This window comes from Homo sapiens, chromosome 17 (assembly GCF_000001405.40).
Source record: "Homo sapiens chromosome 17, GRCh38.p14 Primary Assembly".
Taxonomy (NCBI): Eukaryota; Metazoa; Chordata; class Mammalia; order Primates; family Hominidae; genus Homo; species Homo sapiens.
Window position 1 is genome coordinate 29060101 of NC_000017.11, and position 19954 is coordinate 29080054.

Below are 19954 nucleotides of genomic sequence, written 5' to 3' on the forward strand. Positions count from 1 at the left end.
GTGAGAAGGAGACACATAGGCAATTCACGTAAGTAATTATAAATTAGAAGGTGATAAGTGCTTTGGGGACAAAACAGAGGCAGGTGATGAGGAGGTGACAGGGAGTGCTGGGGGAGGGTCTGACCTTTCAGGTGGGTGGTCAGAGGAGGACTCACAGAGGAGGGCCTTTGAGCAGACTTGAAGGAGAAGGAGTGAGCCATGCAGGCCTTCGGATGCAGGTGAAAGAATGTGATGAGTTGTAAAGCAAGGTATTGTGTTATCACTGGTGGGGACAGACAAATGAGACACAGAGAAGGGCCAGAATAAGATCCCACCAGCTCCCAAGCCGAGAAAGTTGGGAAGCTAAGATGCTCAGAATGCCCCCTCTCACCCCACAGCTGCCTGCAGTTCCCTCTGGCTTCTCTCAGTGCCACCCCTTCCCCCAGCCAGCTGCAGCTCCCCTTCCAAAATATCCAGCCTTATTCAGCTTGTTGGTGACAGCTAAAGGATGGACCAGTGTCTCCCAGGGGCTGAGAAAGGACGAGTGGGGGCTGCTCCCAAGCCCTGCCTCAGCTGGCGGAGGCCTCTCTAGATGAGCACAGGAAAGAGTGGGAGGAGGCAGGGGGGTGAGTGAGGGAGGATGGGTGTGGGGGGATGGATCGGGCCAGCGAAGAAAGGAGACAGACAAGAAGCAGGAAAGAAGAGACTGGCAATGTGCAGACCACGAAGGCAGGTCAGGACCTCCAGGGATGCCACGCACCCCTAAAGCCAAAAGAAATGGGCCCAGAGTGCCCAAGTGGGAGGAAACCAGCCATTCTTAGGTGGGATGGGGTGGGATAGTAGAGGAGATGTTGGGAATAGTCTCTGGGCCTAGAGGAAAGCAAAAGTCATTGTAGAAGGGGTCCTAGGATAACTTGAGGGTTTCAGTTATATCGAAGGATTTTCCAAAGCAGATCAACCAGTATTCTCTCTCTGCTTCCCTTCTGCCTGAGCGTGGCCAGGCATCCCCTTTCAGGCAGGCCGTACATATCTTCAGGATGGAAGAAAATCAAAATCAATCGGGCAGGCAAGAAGAGACCTCTGGAAGGGCAGCTGGGGTCTGCACAGGCTGCAGGGGAGAGATAAGGGCAACGAAGAGAAAGAGGCTGGCCTGGTTGGCAAGCAGACTGAGGAAAGCAGAGGCAGGCTGAAAATAGATTGGGGGCGGGAGGAAAGAAAGCCAGGCCAGGAAAGAAGGGAGAGCAGAGGCAATCGATGCCTTCGTGACTCTGACCCAATTTTTCATTTCAGCCTCACCAAAAGATGAGGAGATGGTGGGGAAATCGGGAAAGACTGGCAAAGAGGGAGGAGAGTCAGGGCAAAGTAATTTGAGTTCTAAGACCCAGGCGATCGTGGGGTACCAGTCAGGGATCGTGGTGGGGAGAGGAGGAGGTGTATACTATCCTCAGTACCAGTTTGGACCCCAGCAGAGTTTGGCATCCCAGAATGGGTTTAACAGCTTAAGGAATGTGAGTGTACCCAGGAAGGAGGGTCAACTATCTAGAAAGGTCAAAGGAGAAAACATGGCCGAGTCGGTCTGGAGACAGTCGGCTACAAAGTAACTCCAAGCCTGCATTTTCTTCTCAGAAGAGTGATGAAAGAGAATTTGGTTTTTTAAGTGGTGGGCTGTTAGAGCAGCAAGAGGGATTAAAGTTAGACTTCAGGAAATCCATCCCATTAGGTAGATTCATGAGATACTAAAACATGTAGATGAGCATACTTATATTCTTTCCTTGGAAATCTTAAAAAATTAGAAGCTCTGCTATTTGGGCCTGTAGAGGCTCGTCTGAAGGCCAGGGCCTCCCCTCAAAACTTCTGGACGACTGCTGGCTAGAAAGGGGGGTCTAAGATTTTTATTACCCTGGGGGTAGGGTCTGAAATAAATATCTGGGCCTAAGGCAGGGCTAATGCAGGCACCTGGGTTAGGGAGAATGGGGGAGGCCCAAGGTGGGCTGGATCCGTCAGCCCTGAAGGAGCCACAGAGACAAGGGGTGGGATTCTAACAGGCAGGACCTATGACATTTACATAACTTTGAATAATGAATAAGCCCAGCTCTGGGGTTCCTAGTTAGCACTGCTCATCTGCATCTTTATTCAGCTTTATAAATGATTCAGCTCCTACCCCTTCCCCCAGCCCCTGCCCAGCCTGCCCCCAAGCATCGGGGTAGTTGATTGCTCATTATTTTAGACTAGATTTGTTTCACCAACATTCAGTGAGACATGGAATGGGGGTGGCATGGGAGAGAGGAACAAGTCCAAAAGGCAAGTGGAGTGAAGGGGTCGGGGGCTGGAGAATGGAAACAGCAGCCGTGGGAAGGGAGGCTCACAGCTGCGAGCAGAGGCACAGAGCTAAGGACGTGGGCATCACTCTCCAAAATGCTCCTGGGGCCAGCATCTTCAGGAGAGAAAAGTTTCTTAGATTCCCCGACATGTGCCGGGTTCAAGTCCCACTCGAATCCCCGGGCTCCCTTACAACTGCTGCCAAGGCCCCCAGCAGGCCCCGTGCTCAGCTCCAGCACAGCACTGAGGCGTTGGAGCAGTCAAGTGAGTACAGCCCCCAGGGAAGTTCTCACTTTTTCCTGAGGCAGGAATTTTGCTATTTTCACGCAAAAAAAAAAAAATCTGCTACGCTTGTAAGGCAGGAACACGCACCAGGTATATTAGGGGAGAAAGAAATAGGAACAGATGTACATGGTATGAGAATCTGTAGGGAAAGGGAATGCTGTATCCACAGGGAGTTAGCACCCACCTTGAAAGAGGAACCTGGAGAAGATGGGCAGCCCTCACCTGATCGGAGCGGCTCTGGGAGCTGCCTGATCAGCTGGTCAGAAACGGGGAGAAGTATTTAATGGCATGAACACGGAAGAGTTGGCCGGAAGCTGGTAGGGGGAAAGGCAGAGCATTTCTCAACCCTGGCTGCACATTATAACCACCTGGGGAGCTTTAAAAAAGATGATGCTTGGGACCCACCTAAGACCATTTAAATTAGAATCGCCAAGGGAGAAGGCCCTAGGCACCATATTTTTTAAAAAGCTCTTCAATTTTATTTGGATCCTAGTTTAAACAGACCAATTTTAAAATATATATTATAAAATACATAACAAAACTATATAATAAAATCAGGGAAGTTTAAACATTGACTGGATGTTTTGTGTTAAGGAATTATTGATCATTTTTTAGGTGTGATAAGAGTATTGTGATTATATTTTTTAAAGAGTCATTTTCTGGCTGGGTGTGATGTCGCATATCTGTAATCCCAGTGCTTTGTGTGGCCAAGGTGGGAGGATCACTTGAGGCCAGGCGTTTGAGGCTGCAGTGAGCTATGATCATGCCATTGCCCTCCAGCCAGGACAAAAGAGCAAGATCTTGTCTCTATTTAAAAAAAAGAAAAAAGTTGGCTAGGTGCAGTGGCTCATGCCTGTAATCCCAGCACTTTGGGAGGCTGAGGGGAGCAGATCACGAGGTCAAGAGATGGAGACTATCATGGCCAACATGGTGAGACCCCGTCACTATTAAAAAATACAAAGAATTAGCTGGGCATGGTGGCACACGCCTATAGTCCCAGATACTTAGGAGGCTGAGGCAGGAGGCTCACTTGAACCCGGGAGGCAGAGGTTGCAGTGAGCTGAGATCATGCCACTGCACTCCAGCCTGGCGACAGAGCGAGACTCCATCTAAAAAAAAAAAGTCATTTTCCTTTCCTTTCCTTTCCTTTTCTTTTCTTCTTTTCTTTTCTTTTTTCTTTTCGAGACATCCTCTCACTCTGTTGCCCAGGCTGAAGTGCTGAAGTGCAATGGTGCTATCACAGGTCACTGCAGCCTTGACCTCCCAGGCTCAAGTGATCCTTCTACCTCAACCTAGCTAATTATTTTTATTTTTTGTAGAGATGGGGTCTCCCTATGTTGCCCAGGCTGGTCTCAAACTCCTGGGCTCAAGTGATCTGCTTGCCTTGGTCTTCCAAACTGTTGGGATTATAGATGTAAGTCACCGTGCCTGGCCTCATTTTCTTTTCTTTGAGGAATACTAAACTATTTCCTGGTGAAATGACATCATGTCTGTCAGCTTCAAAATAATACAGTGAAGAGAATGGGGAAGTGGGCAGGGTTGCCAACAAAGCAAGATTCCCTGTTGATAACTGTTTTAATTATTCTTATTTTAAATTAAATTAAGGCCAGGTGCGGTGGGCTCAAGCCTGTAACCCCAGCACTTCGGGAGGCCGAGGCGGGTGGATCGCCTGCAGTCAGGAGTTCGAGACCAGCCTGGCCAACATGGTGAAACCCCGTCTCAACTAAAAAAAATACAAAAATTAGCTGGGCGTGGTGGCGTGTGCTTGTAATCCCAGCTACTCAGGAGGCTGAGGCAGGAGAATCACTTGAACCTGGGAGGCGGAGGCTGCAGAGAGCTGAGATTGTGCCACTGTGCTCCAGCCTGGGCAACAGAATGAGACTCCGTCTCAAAAAAAAAAATTTAAATTATATATATTTTTTAAGATACAGGAGTTTCACTATGTTTCCCAGGCTGAATTTGAGCTCCTGGGCTCAAGGAATCCTCCCATCTCAGCATCCTGAGGTGTGATAACTGTTGAAGCTGCTTGATGGGTAAACAGGTGTATTAGTCCAGTCTCACACTGCTATGAAGAAATATCCGAGACTGGGTAATTTATAAAGAAAGGTTTAATTGACTCAGTTCTGCATGACTGGGTAAGGCCTCAGGAAACTTACGATCATGATGGAAGGCATCTCTTCACAGGGCTGCAGGAGAGCGAATGAGTGCAGAGTGAAGAGTGGAAAAGCCCCTTACAAAACCATCAGATCTCTTGAGAACTCACTCACTATCACAAGAACAGCATGGGGGTAACTGCACCCATGATTCAATTACCTCCCACCAGGTCCCTCCCACAACACAAGGGGATTATGGGAACTACAATTCAAGATGAGATTTGGGTGGGGACACAGCCAAACCATATCAACAGGTTCATTCATTATACTATTATTTTAAAACTTTTTGTATATAAACCAAAACAGCCAGGGGTGAGAACCTCAGAGCCAGCCACTTAGAAGGACAAGTGCCACCTCGGCAACTCTGCGGGCAGAACCAGCTTGGAGGAGAACAGGTTTGCAGGACCCTAAATAAGAGGGGAGGGCTCAGTCTCCAATGTCCTGGGCCCTGGGCAGCACAGAGCCACTTGGGGAAAGAATAACTGGCACTTAGAGACGCAACTTGGGGTTTGGAAGGCTCTGCAAGCTGCTTCACTGTAAGCCCACACAGCCTCTGGAGTCCCCATGTTTCATGTACTAGGCCTGGAGGCCAGACTGAGGGTGCCGGCTGACTGAGGCAACCAATGCAAACAATCAGCTTCTTCTCTGTCTCCCTGCCCTCTCCTGACCAGCTTCACAGGGATTCAGACCCCCATCTCAGTTGGCATCCCCCACTGCCCATCACCACTGCTTCCCTGCACTGTCACTCCTCCCATGGGCTCATCTGCTAGTGCCAGGGAACGTTAGCCCAGCTGACTTCTTCGGGGATCGGGGAAGGCTGAACGCAAATCTGTACAACTGTGGGCACCCAGACACCCATCGACAGAGGGAGCAGGAGAAGACCCCAGTGGTTGCTGCCAGAACTGTGTGAGCTGCTGAGAGATTCCCCGGTAGATTGACCCTACTTGCACATCACTCCTTCAATGAACAAATCAAATGAATCCTAAATGCTCAGGTATCTACCATCCTGGACTAGTTGAGTCTCCTCAGCCTTGGCCCATGGACCAACACAGGAATGCCCATGTTCTCCACGTGCTCCTGAGAAATAATTTCCTGCACCACTGAAGTGGATGCCCCCACCCTGCCGCACATCTCAGCCCTGTCCTCCACCCATTTCCGCTGGTGGCACTACTAGCTCCGGCCTCCTGCTCAGTTTGGGGCTCTATCTGTCTTCTGTGCTCCATTACCTTCCCCCATGGCCTCTAGGGGCTGGGGAGGGGAGAGTTGGAGGGGGGCTGCTTAAGAGATTTTTGGAATCAGTGCCTGCGCATCACCCGCTGCCATGAGTTATTTCAGCGCTGATGTTTGTCTCGAGCTGATTATTCCAGCCCGAGAACAGGTGGAGCAGCCTGCGGTGGTTTATTCGTCAGCCAAGGCCATCTGTTCCCAACAAGCTGAGATTTGTAGCTGATTTCTGCTGGGGAGCAAGGAGTAGGGGTGGGGAGGGAGAGGGAGATCACACCCACACCCCAGGGGACTTGCTCCTCCCAGACCTGCCAGGATGCCTCAACCCCTGGGCTTCCCTTTTACTAGGGATCCCACATTTTCCAATTTCTCAGAGAAACTCACTGGTCACTCAAGTCAGCAACAATACTTCCCTAAGGGGCTACACCTTCTTAGATGGAACCATGTATTAGAAGCACAAATCTACCAGCCAGGCACAAAGTCTGGCCACTGAGCCATGTCCCCACCTTGCAGATCTTAAAAAAAAAAAAAAAAAAAAAGTATATCACTATGACACAAATGTCCTAAATGACCTTCTCAACTCTTGGCTCCTCCTCATCCCAACCCCACTGCCAGTCCCTTTAACAAAAACAGCCTCACCTAAACCGATCACCTGCAGGGCTCTCAGCTGCATGGGAGGGCTTGATCTAGATGCTCTTGTCTCATCTGCGCTGCTCGCCTCCCCTAAATACCCTGTTCATGTTCCACCCTCCAATCTGTTCCTCTTCCAGCTTCCCTCTCAGCCATGCCGAGAGAAGCCTGCTGCTTTAAGAATGGCTTTCCCTGAGCAAGGGATCTAAGCAGTTTCTAAGCAGCTTTGCCACACGGTTTACCCCCTCCCGCCCACCCGCCTGCTATGATTTCTGTATATGAAATGTTGGGAAAGAAGTGATTCTTATAATCATGCTAATATGACAATTTGGGGCCTTCTTTGGTGTTGCTACACACATCTGTACTGACTTTTAAAAATTGTATGAAAACTTGGTATTGAAAGCACAGCCACTTCATCTATAACCCCACATCCCCAGGTAAAACTACTTATAGTTTTCAGAGGTCCCTTCTAATATTTATTTATTGATCTGTGTTTTCCCTTCTACTTTTGTCATGTCTATATGTAACCTTAGGAACCCATTAACAGAGCTGTAAGACTGCCTCACTTTCTAGTTGGTTCTCTAGGCTTATTTTGTCGGTTCCTGGGAGCAGAAGCTCCTTTCTACTATTAAAACCTGCCCAGTGGCTGAGTATGTTTCCACCAGAAACAGTAGCTCCCACAGATGTTCTCCGGAACCCACAAAGGCAGGCCATGAGACCTGTGCTTCCAGGGCAGAACCTTCCAGGGAGTGCACTCACTAGGGTCACTCTTCCTTGGACAGTAGTCCCCCAGCAGTCCTCAAGCAAGGGTGCCAACCTGCAGTTGATGCCAGGCCCCAGGGTTAAGATGAGCCATGAGACCTCTTTCATCACATACAATTTTATATTTGCCTGGCTGCCTGTCACTCACCGGTCTTTCAAAGTGCTAATGTTTCCGAAGCTATTGGCTATATCTTCCCCATGCAGAGATTTTTTTAAACTCCTTTTTTTCTTTTTGAGACAGAGTCTCACCCGTCGCCCAGGCTGGAGTGCAATGGCATGATCTCGTCTCACTGCAAACTCCACCTTCAAGGGATTCTCCTGCCTCAGCCTCCCGAGTAGCTGGGATTACATGTTCCCGCCAACACGCCCAGCTAATTTTTTTTTTTTTTTTTGAGACGGAGTCTTGCTCTGTCGCCCAGGCTGGAGTGCAGTGGCTCGGATCTCTGCTCACTGCAAGCTCCGCCTCCTGGGTTCATGCCATTCTCCTGCCTCAGCCTCCCGAGTAGCTGGGACTACAGGCACCCGCCACCATGCCCGGCTAATTTTTTGTATTTTTTTAGTAGAGATGGGGTTTCATCGTGTTAGCCAGGATGGTCTTGATCTCCTGACCTCGTGATCCACCCGCCTCAGCCTCCCAAAGTGCTGGGATTACAGGCGTGAGCCACCGTGCCCGGCCTAATTTTTGTATTTTTAGTAGAGAGGGGGTTTCACCATCTTGGCCAGGCTGGTCTCGAACTCCTGACTCCAGGTGATCCACCCACCTCAGCCTTAACTCCTTTTTTTTTTAAATTTCCATTTTCAAATTCCCTAGTGTCCTCTCTTTCCCAAATCCATTTGCTGCTTTTCCTAATCTAGTCAGATCATAGATGTGGCACAAAACATATAAAAATTTCTTAAAATGTGGAAACTCTTTGACTCTTAAGCCACTTCAAATATAATTTGGCTGGATAGTGTCAAAACGTAATATCCTTTTTGAATTTTCTTTTCTTCTAAAACTGTCATAGCTGACTTTTGATATCTACAGCAAATTCTATCTGCACATATAAGTATTCCACTGGGGGATTTATGTGACTGACTTCAGTCGCAAAGCACACACTCTTTTTGGAATCTCCCTTATGTTTATGACCCATCTCTGGGGCTCACGCTACAGAAGACTCAATTTCTCTGTACAATTCCTTCTAAACACATCCAGTATCCTTGTTAACTCCAAAATGGCTACTGCTCTGGAAATCTTTCCTCCCAGATCAAATAGCAGGGAATGGTCTGGATTGTTGTTGTACTGTAATGAAATTAGACTGAAGTGAATATAGCTTAAAATATGCATTCTGAGCGATGTGGAACTGTTATTCATATTGCTGGCACAGTGGGAGTGAAGTGAAAATGTGATAATATATGGGGGATGCTCTGAAAATTGTGAAGCGCGACGCAAATGTGAAGTAGATATTTTCCCCCCAAATTGCCAAGAAGCGTTTCCTTTCTGAGGCCAGGACTTGGCGAATGCCAGGCACACGCGATTTGAGATGAGGACCATGGTAGTGATTCTTTGCTTTCTTGCCTCTCACTGCATCCTCTGCCAAGGCCAGAATAGTTAGGAGACGCCTGGCCAGCTGCTGGAAGCAAGTTGAGGACTCTGCTTAGAAAGATGACATCACCCCTCAGCCTCAGTTTTCTTTCCAGGATGACGTCTTCACAGAGTTGTGATGGAGGTGAAATGAGATTTTGTAGGGCAAAGTGCTTAAGCGCTGGGGTCATCATAGTAAGTGCTCAACAAATGGGAACTGTTGTTGGTCCTTTTTTTTTTTTTTTGAGATGAAGTCTCTCTCTTGTCCCCTAGGCCAGAGTGCAATGACACGATCTTGGCTCACTGCAACCTCTGCCTCCCGGGTTCAAGCGATTCTCCTGCCTCAGCCCCCCAAGTAGCTGGGATTACAGGTGCCTGCCACCACGCACGGCTAATTTTTGTATTGTTTTTAGTTGAGATGGGGTTTCACCATGTTGGCCAGGCTGGTCTTGAACTCCTGACCTCAGGTGATCCACCCTCCTCGGCCTCCCAAAAGTACTGGGATTACAGGCGTAAGCCACCGCACCCGGCCAATTATTGCTCTTATTACCCTCCTCTCACTACTGACAGGGTAGGAAGGGGCCTGTCAGTCCCAGTCACTGACTCTGGGCCTCAGCTCAGGCCAGAGTTCCAAGGGCCCTTAAAAGGGCGGGAAACATTATTTCCGGGTTGCTCGGAGAGTAGACCTGTCCTAATGCCGCTGTAATCATTAAAAGGGCAACACAGATGGGCTGCCCATCGGCGGCTTGAAAACCCATTTCTTTTAAGGGGAGTGGCTTCTGGGAAGTGCGTAAAGAACCTCCAGGCAGGGGCGGGACCAGAGGGCCACGTGCGCCAATGAAAAGTGGATATGCAAATATATATATGAATATGCTAACGAGCTCTCGGTTTCCCAGTGAATGGTAGGGCACAAGCCTGGACTGGCAGAGCGGGCTAGGGAAGAAGAGGAAATGAGAGGACCTCGAGGTTCAACCGAGTGTCTGAATGGAAACTAACTCCCGACAGACCATGCACAACGTTTCTTCCACAGCACCCGGATCTCGAAGCCCCACTGGGCATCAACTGTCAGTCCCTCACTAGGGGGGATGAAGGGGGAGGGCGTGGGAGATTCTTTTGGCTGTGGTAAGGAGCTCTGAATTTAGAAGCCAGAAGGTTCTTGCCAGCAATACTACCTTGTTTCACAGATGGGGAAACTGAGGCCTGACAGGTTAAGCCCCTTCTCCAAGGTCGCAGTGCTAGACGCAGAAGAACTCAGTTTGGCAGGTTTTGTCTATTTTTGCTTTGTTTTCATTACTGCACGGGGGCACCACTCTGGAGGTGAAAAGGCAGCAGCCTGAAAGGCGGCAGAGCTTGGTACATTACCGAACGTGTCGGACTGCCCACCAGGCTGGAGGTTTTAGAAAATATGTCCTAGGAGAAGATGGAAGGAGTCAGGGTGGCCGCCAGTAGAAGCAGGCAAGGACAAATTATCATAGACTTGTCTGGAATGTGTTGCTATATAAAAGGTGACGAAGTGTTCCAGCTTCCCAGAGAACCGGTGCAGTGGAAATGAACGGGGAACAGAAGGGATTAGGGTTAGATTTAAGGCAGTACTTTCTCCCAGGGATGATAATGGGGCCCTTCATTCAGTGACCAAGGCAGGCTAGGGACTCATCCCCCTCCCACTTCCGAGGCCTTTGGGAATCCATTTCCCTCCAGTCCCACACGGCCAGCTTGGAGGTCAGGAATGAATTAGAAGACTTTGAAAAGTCCCCACTATTCAGGTAGGCGATCCTTTCCCTGGATGGGCCTCCTGGGCTCTTTGCTGAGGGTAAGGACAGCAGCCGCTCTGGCTCCAGGGCCCTGGGGAAGAAACAGCAGTCATGGCATCTCTTGCAACACGCTCCCTGCCAAATTGATTCAAATTGGCTTGGATATGAACATATGATTAAAGGAGCGGCGCGATTCATTTATCAGGAGAGATTAAAGAGCGGCATCTGCGCAGCCTAGCTGGGGGACAATTAAGGAGCAAATCGCTAAGTGTCTTTGCCACCAGGCAAGTGGGTGGAGGATGGGGCAAGGACAACTGGGATAATCTGCCAAGGAGACACAAAGACAAAAGAAGACCATTTAGGGGTCACTGCCTGCCACTTTATTTTCTGGGCACAGACTGGGCACCATGGGGAGTCCCACAGGGGCACTGGTTCCCGCCCATGCTTATTCAGGAGTCAGAGCAATCCCGGGGATCTGCAGTTATAGAGGAGGATCTAGCAGGCTGGCTTTGAGCCTGGCAAAGGGCCAGATTTGCCTTCTGCAACATCTTAGGGACCAGAGGTACCATGAGTGTACAGGTAAGGTCAACAGCAGAGCCTTCAAGGTACACCCAAAATAAAGATGGGCTTTGGTGGCCCTAAAGGCTCCTGGACTCCTCTGGGGCCAAGGGAATTGTCTCCTTCTCAACTGAAACTTGGAGAAGCACTGGTCATGTGACAATGCACAGCCAGCCTGTGGCATGTTCTACCAGCACCTCTCTTTCCCTGCCCCAGGACCTTTACTTAAACTCTTCTTCTTCTCAATATGCCTTTCCCAGCAACTGTACCTGTGGAAGTGCTATTTTCAAGCCCTGGTCAAAATAGCAGCTCCTTTTAGAGGCTTTCCCAATCCTCCCCGCCAAAGAGAGCATCTCCCTCCATAGTATGTCCAAAGCAACCTCTTCATCCTTGTTAGGTCTTATGTAATTATTTCCACATGGGTCTGCTCCAGCCCTCGTCCGCAAAACCCTGGAGGATGGATACTATGATGTGTTCCTCTCTACCCACTCTAAGCTTATGCATACTAGCAGGTGCAGCATGTATTTTGTGTCTACCTTCCTCCACTTTATGAAGGAAGGGACCTTATCCATCACCAGCACCCAGAATGGGGCCTAGGCACAGCAGGCAGTCATGAAATATTTCTCAACTGTTAAGCAAATGAATATGTTTTCTGACTTGAACAAAGCTTTTTACCCCAGGCCGGGTTATTGGAGGTTGATGTTGGAGTTTCCAGTTAACCAGAGGCTTGACTCAGTATGAGTGAACAGATTTGGGAATTCATCTAAAGGTGGCAGGGAGTTTGTCACACTAGTCCCTAGTAGAAACAGAAAATGTACCACGCTATGTGAAAACAGGAATAAAAGATGAGAGTGACAGAACTGAACATAAGCTAGCAGCCTTTTTTTTTTTTTTTTTTTTTTTGTAAAAAAAAGTAACTTAGGCCAGGCACAGTGGCTCATGCCTATAATCCTAGCACTTTGGGAGGCGAGGCAGGCAGATCACTTGAGGTCAGAAGTTCGAGACCAGCCTGCTCAACATGGCGAAACCCCGTCTCTATTAAAAATACAAAAATTAGCCAGGCGTGGTGGTACACGTCTGTTAAGTCCCAGCTACTCGGAGGGTTTAGGCAGGAGAATCGCTTGAACCTCGGGAGGTAGAGGTTGCAGTGAGTTGAGATCATGCCACTGCATTCCAGCTTGGGCGACATAGCAAGACTCTGTCTCCAAAAGACAAGTAACTTCCCTTTTACTATTGTTTCTATCCTCTTCTCTGTTCTATCGTGGGGCAATGGAGGGGGCAGTCTCTGTTCGAGACAGATCCACTTCACACTCTGTCCCATTCATTTTGGGGGAGACTTTTCTCCCTTCTTCCCTTTTGGACTCTTTCTGGATGGCTGACATTATCAGAGCCTCGGCACTTGGGCTGTTTGCTATTTTTTCCCACCCATCTGTCCAAACTACTTTATTCATTCAGGGATTATAACTGGCCACACTACAGAATGAGAAGGTAGAAGGTAGAAGAGGAGGAGGGGTGTCATTTGTTTCTTGCCTTTCTGCATGAGCTGCCTCTTAGCTGTCAATGAAGGAACAAAGCATGGAGTAGGGCATGAAGACAGGGACCGAGCAGGGCAGAGACAGCACTCCCAACCTATTCACATTGCCCTGTGGGCCCGAGCTAGTTCTGCCAAGTTTTGATCAAAAAGTCACCTTTGAAATGGCTAAAATTAAGCTTTTAAAAAATGTTCTAATGAGAAGGGCTTGAATCCAAAAAGAAAGAGAATGAAAGAAAGAAAGAGAGAGAGAGAGGGAGAGAGGGAGGGACGGAAGGAGGAAGAGAAGAGAAGAGAAGAGAATCTCTGTAATTGGTGAGATTTAACAATCAGAGGGACCTCAACATTCCCTTGTGGAGGCTAGGGAGGATGAGGCTTGGAGTCTCTGCCACCCTTGCTAACCTGAATCACAGTCCCTAGGCTCTTCACATAAAAGGTGGGGCTTGTGTCTTCCTTGGCCAATCCCCTCATTCCACTACCTCTGCCTGCCCCAAAATGAGCTGCCTAGGCTCTTTAAGTGGCACTGGTCTGACACTTTGGGGAGCAGGCCAGAGACCAGGGTGATGCCCTCACGGTCCCCATCAGAATCCTGCCTCTGCCCACCACCCCCAGGACCAATCCAGACTTTGCCTGAGCCTGAAGGAACAGGCAGGAAAACTGGCGCAGCCAGGAGGAAAAGGGCCTTTATTTCCATACATCGGGTAAACAGGGGAGAGCACAGCCCAGTGAGTACAAACCAATTGCAGGAGAGAAGGGGGGCGGCAGATGGGAGCAGCACCAGGCACTGCACTTGGGCTCCCAAGTCTGGTGGAGTTCTCAGGGATAACCTTTTTAGGGTGGGGGCTGGGACCTCCAGACCACATGGTGTTGTGTCTGGGATAAGTGTGTGGGGGCAGGGAGGTTGGAAGAATGACACGGGCTCAGGACACAGAGTGAGGACTCATGTCTAATGAGCACCGGCCAAAACTTCCATCTTCAGTTTTTCTGATCACAAGTCCTCAACCCCAAGCCTTCCCTCTCAAGTTGAGTTTATGGTCCAGACCACCTGGACAGAGCAGGAGGGAGGCAGTGCTTGGATCAGCCCTGAACTGCTGTAGTTGGAATGGGTTTACCTTAAATAGGTCATTGCACATAACACGCTGAGACAAAGAGGGTGGGGTGGGGGCTGGAGGTGCGGATGGTCCACACACACACTTGTCTGCGTAGGCTTGCTCAACCCAGCCCAGCAGCACCGGAGAGCCCCTCCGCACCTCATTCTTAAGAACCTGGACCCGGCTCTCCTCACCAGCGTCTCCAGCTGCACAGAGAAAGGACTGCTCTCTGAAGGGTGAAGATGGAGATGACATTCCCGAGTCGTTCTTGGGAGCCCCAGCTACCACTACAGCCCCCTCCCACTCTCAGGGATGCAGCTGTGATGGAGAGGTTGGGTATTTAAATTAAAAAGTAGAAAGACAGCAGGCACCAAGAAGAGAGAGCCCCCACCCCACACGAGAGGGAAGGCACTGCTTCTCCTCCCCCAATCCTCCCCATGGACCCAGCAACCTAGAGTGTCCCAGTAGGCAACCTGTCCACCGTCCCTGAGCAGGGAGCTGAGAGGGAGGTCAACGTGCTGGCTCCATGCAGTGCCAGGCCACCTGCCACTGCCCACGGTGACACAGGGTAGAAGCCAAGAGTCTGGCATTTTGAGACAGAGGAGCAAAAAGTTCTCTTCAGAAACTCCTCTTTCCCCCACCTCTTCCACGTGGAGACATCAGACACCCATAGCCTGGAAAGTGCCCCTGACAGAAGAAGGTCAGGGTGTTTCCCATGCAGATCAGCAGTCGGGTGGGGGAGACCGGTGCCCCACCACTTCCTGGGAGAGGTGCCCAGGCAGCCACAGGCCCTGGGGTGAGAGGGCTGCCAACCACTCCCCTGGGCTATGCGTTAGTCTCCGTCAGCTTGGCCTCTGTGTCGCTGTCACTCAGATAACTGTGGGAGTATCGCGGTCTGGAGGTGTTGTCGAGAGGGTCGTGCTCATCATCTGACCGATCAGGGGCAAGGGACTTCCAGTAGCTGGTGGGGCTGCAGGGACCGAGGAATAAGGTTAGGGACAAATGACACTCCTACCATTAAGCACGCACGCCTTTGGTTCTGGAGGCCCACAAAGCTGCGTCAGAGCACTCCCCAAAAGCCAAACATTGTTAAGTAAAAACCTTCCTTGGCTTACTTAGAAGATACTCAAAATGCTAAGAGGAAGGAGACTCTGGAAGCTTTTAAAGCTCCGAGGAAAGGGATGCTGAGAGCAGTGAGTCTCGGACTCAAGCGTGCATAAGAATCTGATGCAGGTTCCTGGGCCCTTCCTCTTAGAAACCTTGAATCGCTGGCTTTTGGGTACAACCCAGTAATTCTGCATTTTCAGTCCTTCCCCAGAAGGCTCTGAAGCAGGCAGTCCGTGAACCACATTGGCTTGGAGACTGGAGGTCTGGTGAGTACAACTTGTCTAGGGTAGGGGCTCTCTTAGGCGAGTGATTCCTAAAAAGATTCCTTCTGAGGAGGAGGCGCTTTCCCTGTCAAATACTCCCAGATCTGAACCCTTTCCCCTAATGATGGCTCCCTGAGGCCTGTGAGAATTTTCAGCTTTGACCATGCCATCATCTACTAACAAGAAATGGAGGCTCAGGAAGGAGAGGCTGGGAAGACCTGTTTTAGGATGGCCCAAGGGGAAAAGCCCCTTTCTTGGTACAATAACATAACTCAGAGTCTTCATCAGGCCTCTGGCTCTGGAGGCCTCCAGCTATCCCAGATGTGAAGAGGCCTCTTCCCCCTGATGGAGCAGGATCACAGCACTGAACAGGGAAGAGGGGACCTCATCTCACAGCTCCATTCACCTTCTCTTTTCTTTCTCCCAAAGCCTTGGGGCCACCTTTCCCGTACTCCTCCTGCCTCCACTGCCTCCGTCAGTTCAAGTGCACTCTCGTTTCAACACCATTGGAGAAAACACAGCCCAGTGTGGCTCCTCTCCTACTGATGCCCCACACTCGGCGTGGTCCCTGGAGCTGCAGCCCTGCCTCCAGATCCTAGAGTTCCAACTTGGGCAAGCAGGAGTTCCATGTTCCCTGCTGCCTATAATTCTGACTTAAGCTGAAAAGGGACCTTTGTTTACTAGCCCTTTTAAAGTTCTATCCCCAAACCAAAATAGGAGGAGTCAGCGTTCTGCGGCAAGAACCACCTTCTTAGCTTTTCCCAAGGTGGCAGTGAGAGATGCAGAGGGCAAGATTTGGTCACTGAGTACTCCTATGTGTAAGACACGGCCTAGGCATGTGAGATAGGCTATCTTACTCTTCACAATAACCCTATGAAATATTACGAGGAAGCCAGTCCAAAGAGATGAAAGGATCTTCCCCAAGGCCACACAGCCAGTATGTAAACTTGAATCTGGGACTCTTAGACCTCAAAGACTTTGGACGACTTCACCCCGCCACTCGATTGGTTGACCTGAGATTAAAAAAAAAAAAAAAAAAAAAGGACCAAACCTGAATTCTCCTGCTGGCTTGGGCAAGTGCCCAGGGGTTATGTAAAGAAAGGTCGGTCTCTATCCCTGGGGGAAAGGAAGAGGCTGATAGAATACATGTTCAATTATGCAAAATGGTTCAGGAATGGGGCAGTCTGGTTAATAGTTATCGTATTTCTCATGAATGAATTACCATTTTTAAAGGAATCAGGATAGCACAAAACACATTTAACACAAACTAGACTGAACATAAATGAGTCTTACTTTGATAGGCCAAAGGCACTTAGGGACTCTGGGGGGGTTTCTAGGACAAAATTATAAAGCTCACTGATGACTATGCAATATAGAAAAAAATTGGGGTTATTTTAGCTTTGGGGTTGTTTGAATTCTAAATTAGTGGGAGCCTGGTTTGGTTCTCATTCTTTACATAGAATTTCTGGGCACTCAGGGCTAGGATCTGCCGTTAGGCTAAGGAGTGCCTGGCTTTGTGGAAAGACAGTGGGGTTACTTTGTGAGCAGAGCGGGGCGAGGCAGATGCCAGGGCTGGAATCCAGATGCAAATGAGGTGCTGCTGGCGAGCTCCAAGGCACTGTAAATTGCTGAATCAGGGCCCCTCTGGTCCTTTCCATTGCCTCACCTCTTTTTAAGGTGGGGGCTCCAGTCCCCAAGCCCACATTCCTGTACCTGCTAGGCAGACACCTGGATAAATGACAGCCGTGTTTCCATACTGTTTCATCAAGACGCTGGGCAGTGGCAGGAGCTGCCGGGGAGGTGGTAAACTCCATGTCTCTCTCTGCCTTGGGCTGCGGACCCACGAGATTGCCCTTGCCCGTAGCTTGGGTGATCTTTAGCCATTCTTAGTGGCTTCCACTGCTCCAGCCATCAGGGAGTCAACAGCAGGCCGCTGCCCTCCTCTCCAGGGCAAGAGTCAGAGCTGGCAATTTGAACATTTTAACCAAATTGTTTAAAAAAGCCTTCCTCCTCACAAGCCAGCGTCTCCTGCTCAGCACTGTCACAAACAATTTGGTACATAAGCTAATTCCTGCCAGGCAAGCCCAGGGCGGCAGCTCCCCTCCCCTTGACTTTGCTATGGAAGCTGCGTTCCTGTTGCAAATTCTTGCTGGTCCTCATCACCAGATGGGAAGCTAAGTGACTGCTCCATCCCATGCCCCCACCCCAAAGCCAGTTGATGCTGAGCACCACTGAGGTCCTCCCTCCCCTGGCCTTCTCCCTCTGGCTCCGTGTTGGTTGGCTAGGTTCTGGCTTGATGGCCACTCTACCAACAGTGAATCCAATCCTCCTTGGAGCGGGTGGTATATATGGCGTCAGGACTACTCCAGCTTTCCTGGTGGAAAAGAGGAACTGCGCTGGTGGCTGGTGGAAGAAACAGGCTTTTGGTCTTTTTGTTATTGCTGGTTGTGGGGTCAAGGGTGATGGTGGGCTGAGGGCATTGGGGTCTGAAATCTGCCAGTTGCCAGTCAGTGTGGGATGGCCCAGCTTTAGGCCCATGTCCATCTGGGGGTAGAGGCGCAGTGTGCAACAAGGCCTGGCCCTCTTTGCTTTCCAAACCCCTCTCCCAGGTCCATCAGCTGACTTCCTGCCCTAGGGGTGTGGGGCACTTAGCAGGGCTGCTAAGAGGAAGGCTGAGATGCCTGATCAAATATTGACTCATATATATATATATTTTTTGAGATGGAGTCTCGCTCTGTAGCCCAGGCTGGAGTGCAGTGGTGCGATCTCGGTTCATTGCAACCTCCGAGCCTCCCGGGTTCAAGCGATTCTCCTGCCTCTGCCTCCCAAGTAGCTGGGACTATAGGCATGCGCCACCACGCCCAGCTAATTTTTGTATTTTTAGTAGAGACGGGGTTTCACCATCTTGGCCAGGCTGGTCTCAACTCCTAACCTCAGGTGATCTGTCTGCCTCAGCCTCCCAAAGTGCTGGGATTACAGGTGTGAATAACCATGCTCGGCTGACTCTTGTCTTACTATGGAGCCAACACTGGTTCCTTGGTACAACAGAGATGCTTCCTGTTCCTCCCAGAGCACCCAGTAACCATCTGCTGCATGGGGGAAGTGACAGAGCAGGGCTGAGCCATTCCACTTGCTCCATTCCTTAAAAGGTCTTACATCAGTCCGTTTGGTATAATCCATTCAAAGTCAGCCTAGGTGTCCAGCCGCTCCACAGCACAAGCATGCGACAGGTGTGTTAGTTCATGCATCTGGGAGACAAATGTCTGTGCCCCAGGGGCTGCACTCGGGGGACATACCTCCTGGGAAGCAGCAAGCTTGCCCTGGGAGGGCAGCATGCCAAAAACAGCTTCACATAAGCAGGGTGATCTAAAATGTCACCACGCACCAGAGAAACTGGCAACAATGGGATTCCAATGAGTCAGGCTCTGCCCTTCTTCCATGGTGGGGGTGTGGGCATAAAGGGCCTAACTGCTAGATCTCCCTCCCCACAGGGAGAAGAGCTGGGGGAGGCAGGAGAGCCAGGGGGAGGCTGTCACTCAGCAGTTGCTAATTTCTATTCATTAGAACTTTACAAGATGAGTAGAACCAAGGTGACGCCCATGTGTGGGCCTTTGGTGGGAGGGCTGGGGAGGGAGTCAGGCATCTCCTGGGTCTGCTGTAGGGTGTGGCGCTGTGTGGGCTGTAGCCCTGGGAGCCTTGTACTCCTAGGCTTGAGATCTATGCCAGAGAGGAAGGTAGCTTTGTGGGGGCAGGGTAGGGGAGGGAGAGCTAAGCAAAAGGCCCAATAATAGCTTAGGGCCACTGATGTGCACCAACCACAGCTGGGGTATAGCTTGGGACCTTTCCTGGCCCCAGCCTGTTGGGGCCATGAATGAAAGCTCCTGAATGGGTGCTGCTGGGCACACACAGTAAACATGTTGCCCATGTGCTCTGCACTGGCTGCCTGGAGGAGTGGGTAAGGGCAAGAGTGCTGGAGTTGGGCAGACCCCATTCAGACCCTGGCAACAACCCTTCCCAGCTGTGCGTGACCACATGGCAAGTGACTTAACCTCTCCAAGCCTCAGCTTCATCTTCTATGAAACAGAGCTAATCAGACTTTGTTACGGAGTTACTGTGAGGGATAAGTGACTAAAGTGTGGAAGGTATGAAGGACAGTCCCTGGTTCAGGGTCAGGACTTGTAAGTGGGAGCTATGACATCACCAGCGAGTTCAGCTGACAGGGCTCAGGGCTCAGGATGACTGACCAGCTTGGGTGGCCCCTGCTCATCAAGGCAGCCAGGAGGCTCTCCGAGGCCAGGCATGCCCGAGAGGAGTGCGGGTGGGCCCTAAGGTGGCGGCCTGAGGGGCAGGGAGGACGTTAGTTCACACCGGGTGGGACACACCATGCTGAACCCAGGCCAGGTGCCACCTACTGCACTAGTCGCTCTCGGGCCGGTACAGGTACCGCATCATCAGGCTGTCCACCTCTTTCTTGCGCTTCTTTTCCTCCTTCCTCGACGGCCGGTGCGTCTGCCCAGTTTCTTCACTTTCTGCAGCTGGGCCCTTCTTCACACTGGAGCAGCTGTGGCTGGAGACGGTCGAGCCGCTGGATGACGACGAGGAGGACTCAGACTCCGTCTCCGTTCTCTTTCTTCTCGACTTGGACTTCTTGCTCTTCCGAGAGCGCCCCTTCTTCCGCCTCTTGTGCTCTGAGGAAGCTTCGGAGCCGGAGCTGGAGCTGGAGCTGGAGCTGCTCCTTCC

General features: G+C 50.5%; 1 protein-coding gene across 6 annotated transcripts in view; it reads right to left on the reverse strand.

Annotated features, from left to right (window-relative positions):
* MYO18A (myosin XVIIIA) overlaps window positions 11022-19954 on the reverse strand; it is a 109277-nt gene continuing 100344 nt past the window's right edge. For all 6 annotated transcript variants that reach the window (NM_203318.2, NM_078471.4, NM_001346766.2 and 3 more), the window contains one exon: window positions 11022-14814. In NM_203318.2, the coding sequence (NP_976063.1) occupies window positions 14670-14814 (145 nt within the window). In that variant the 3' untranslated portion in view covers window positions 11022-14669. The remainder of the gene's footprint in view (window positions 14815-19954) is intronic.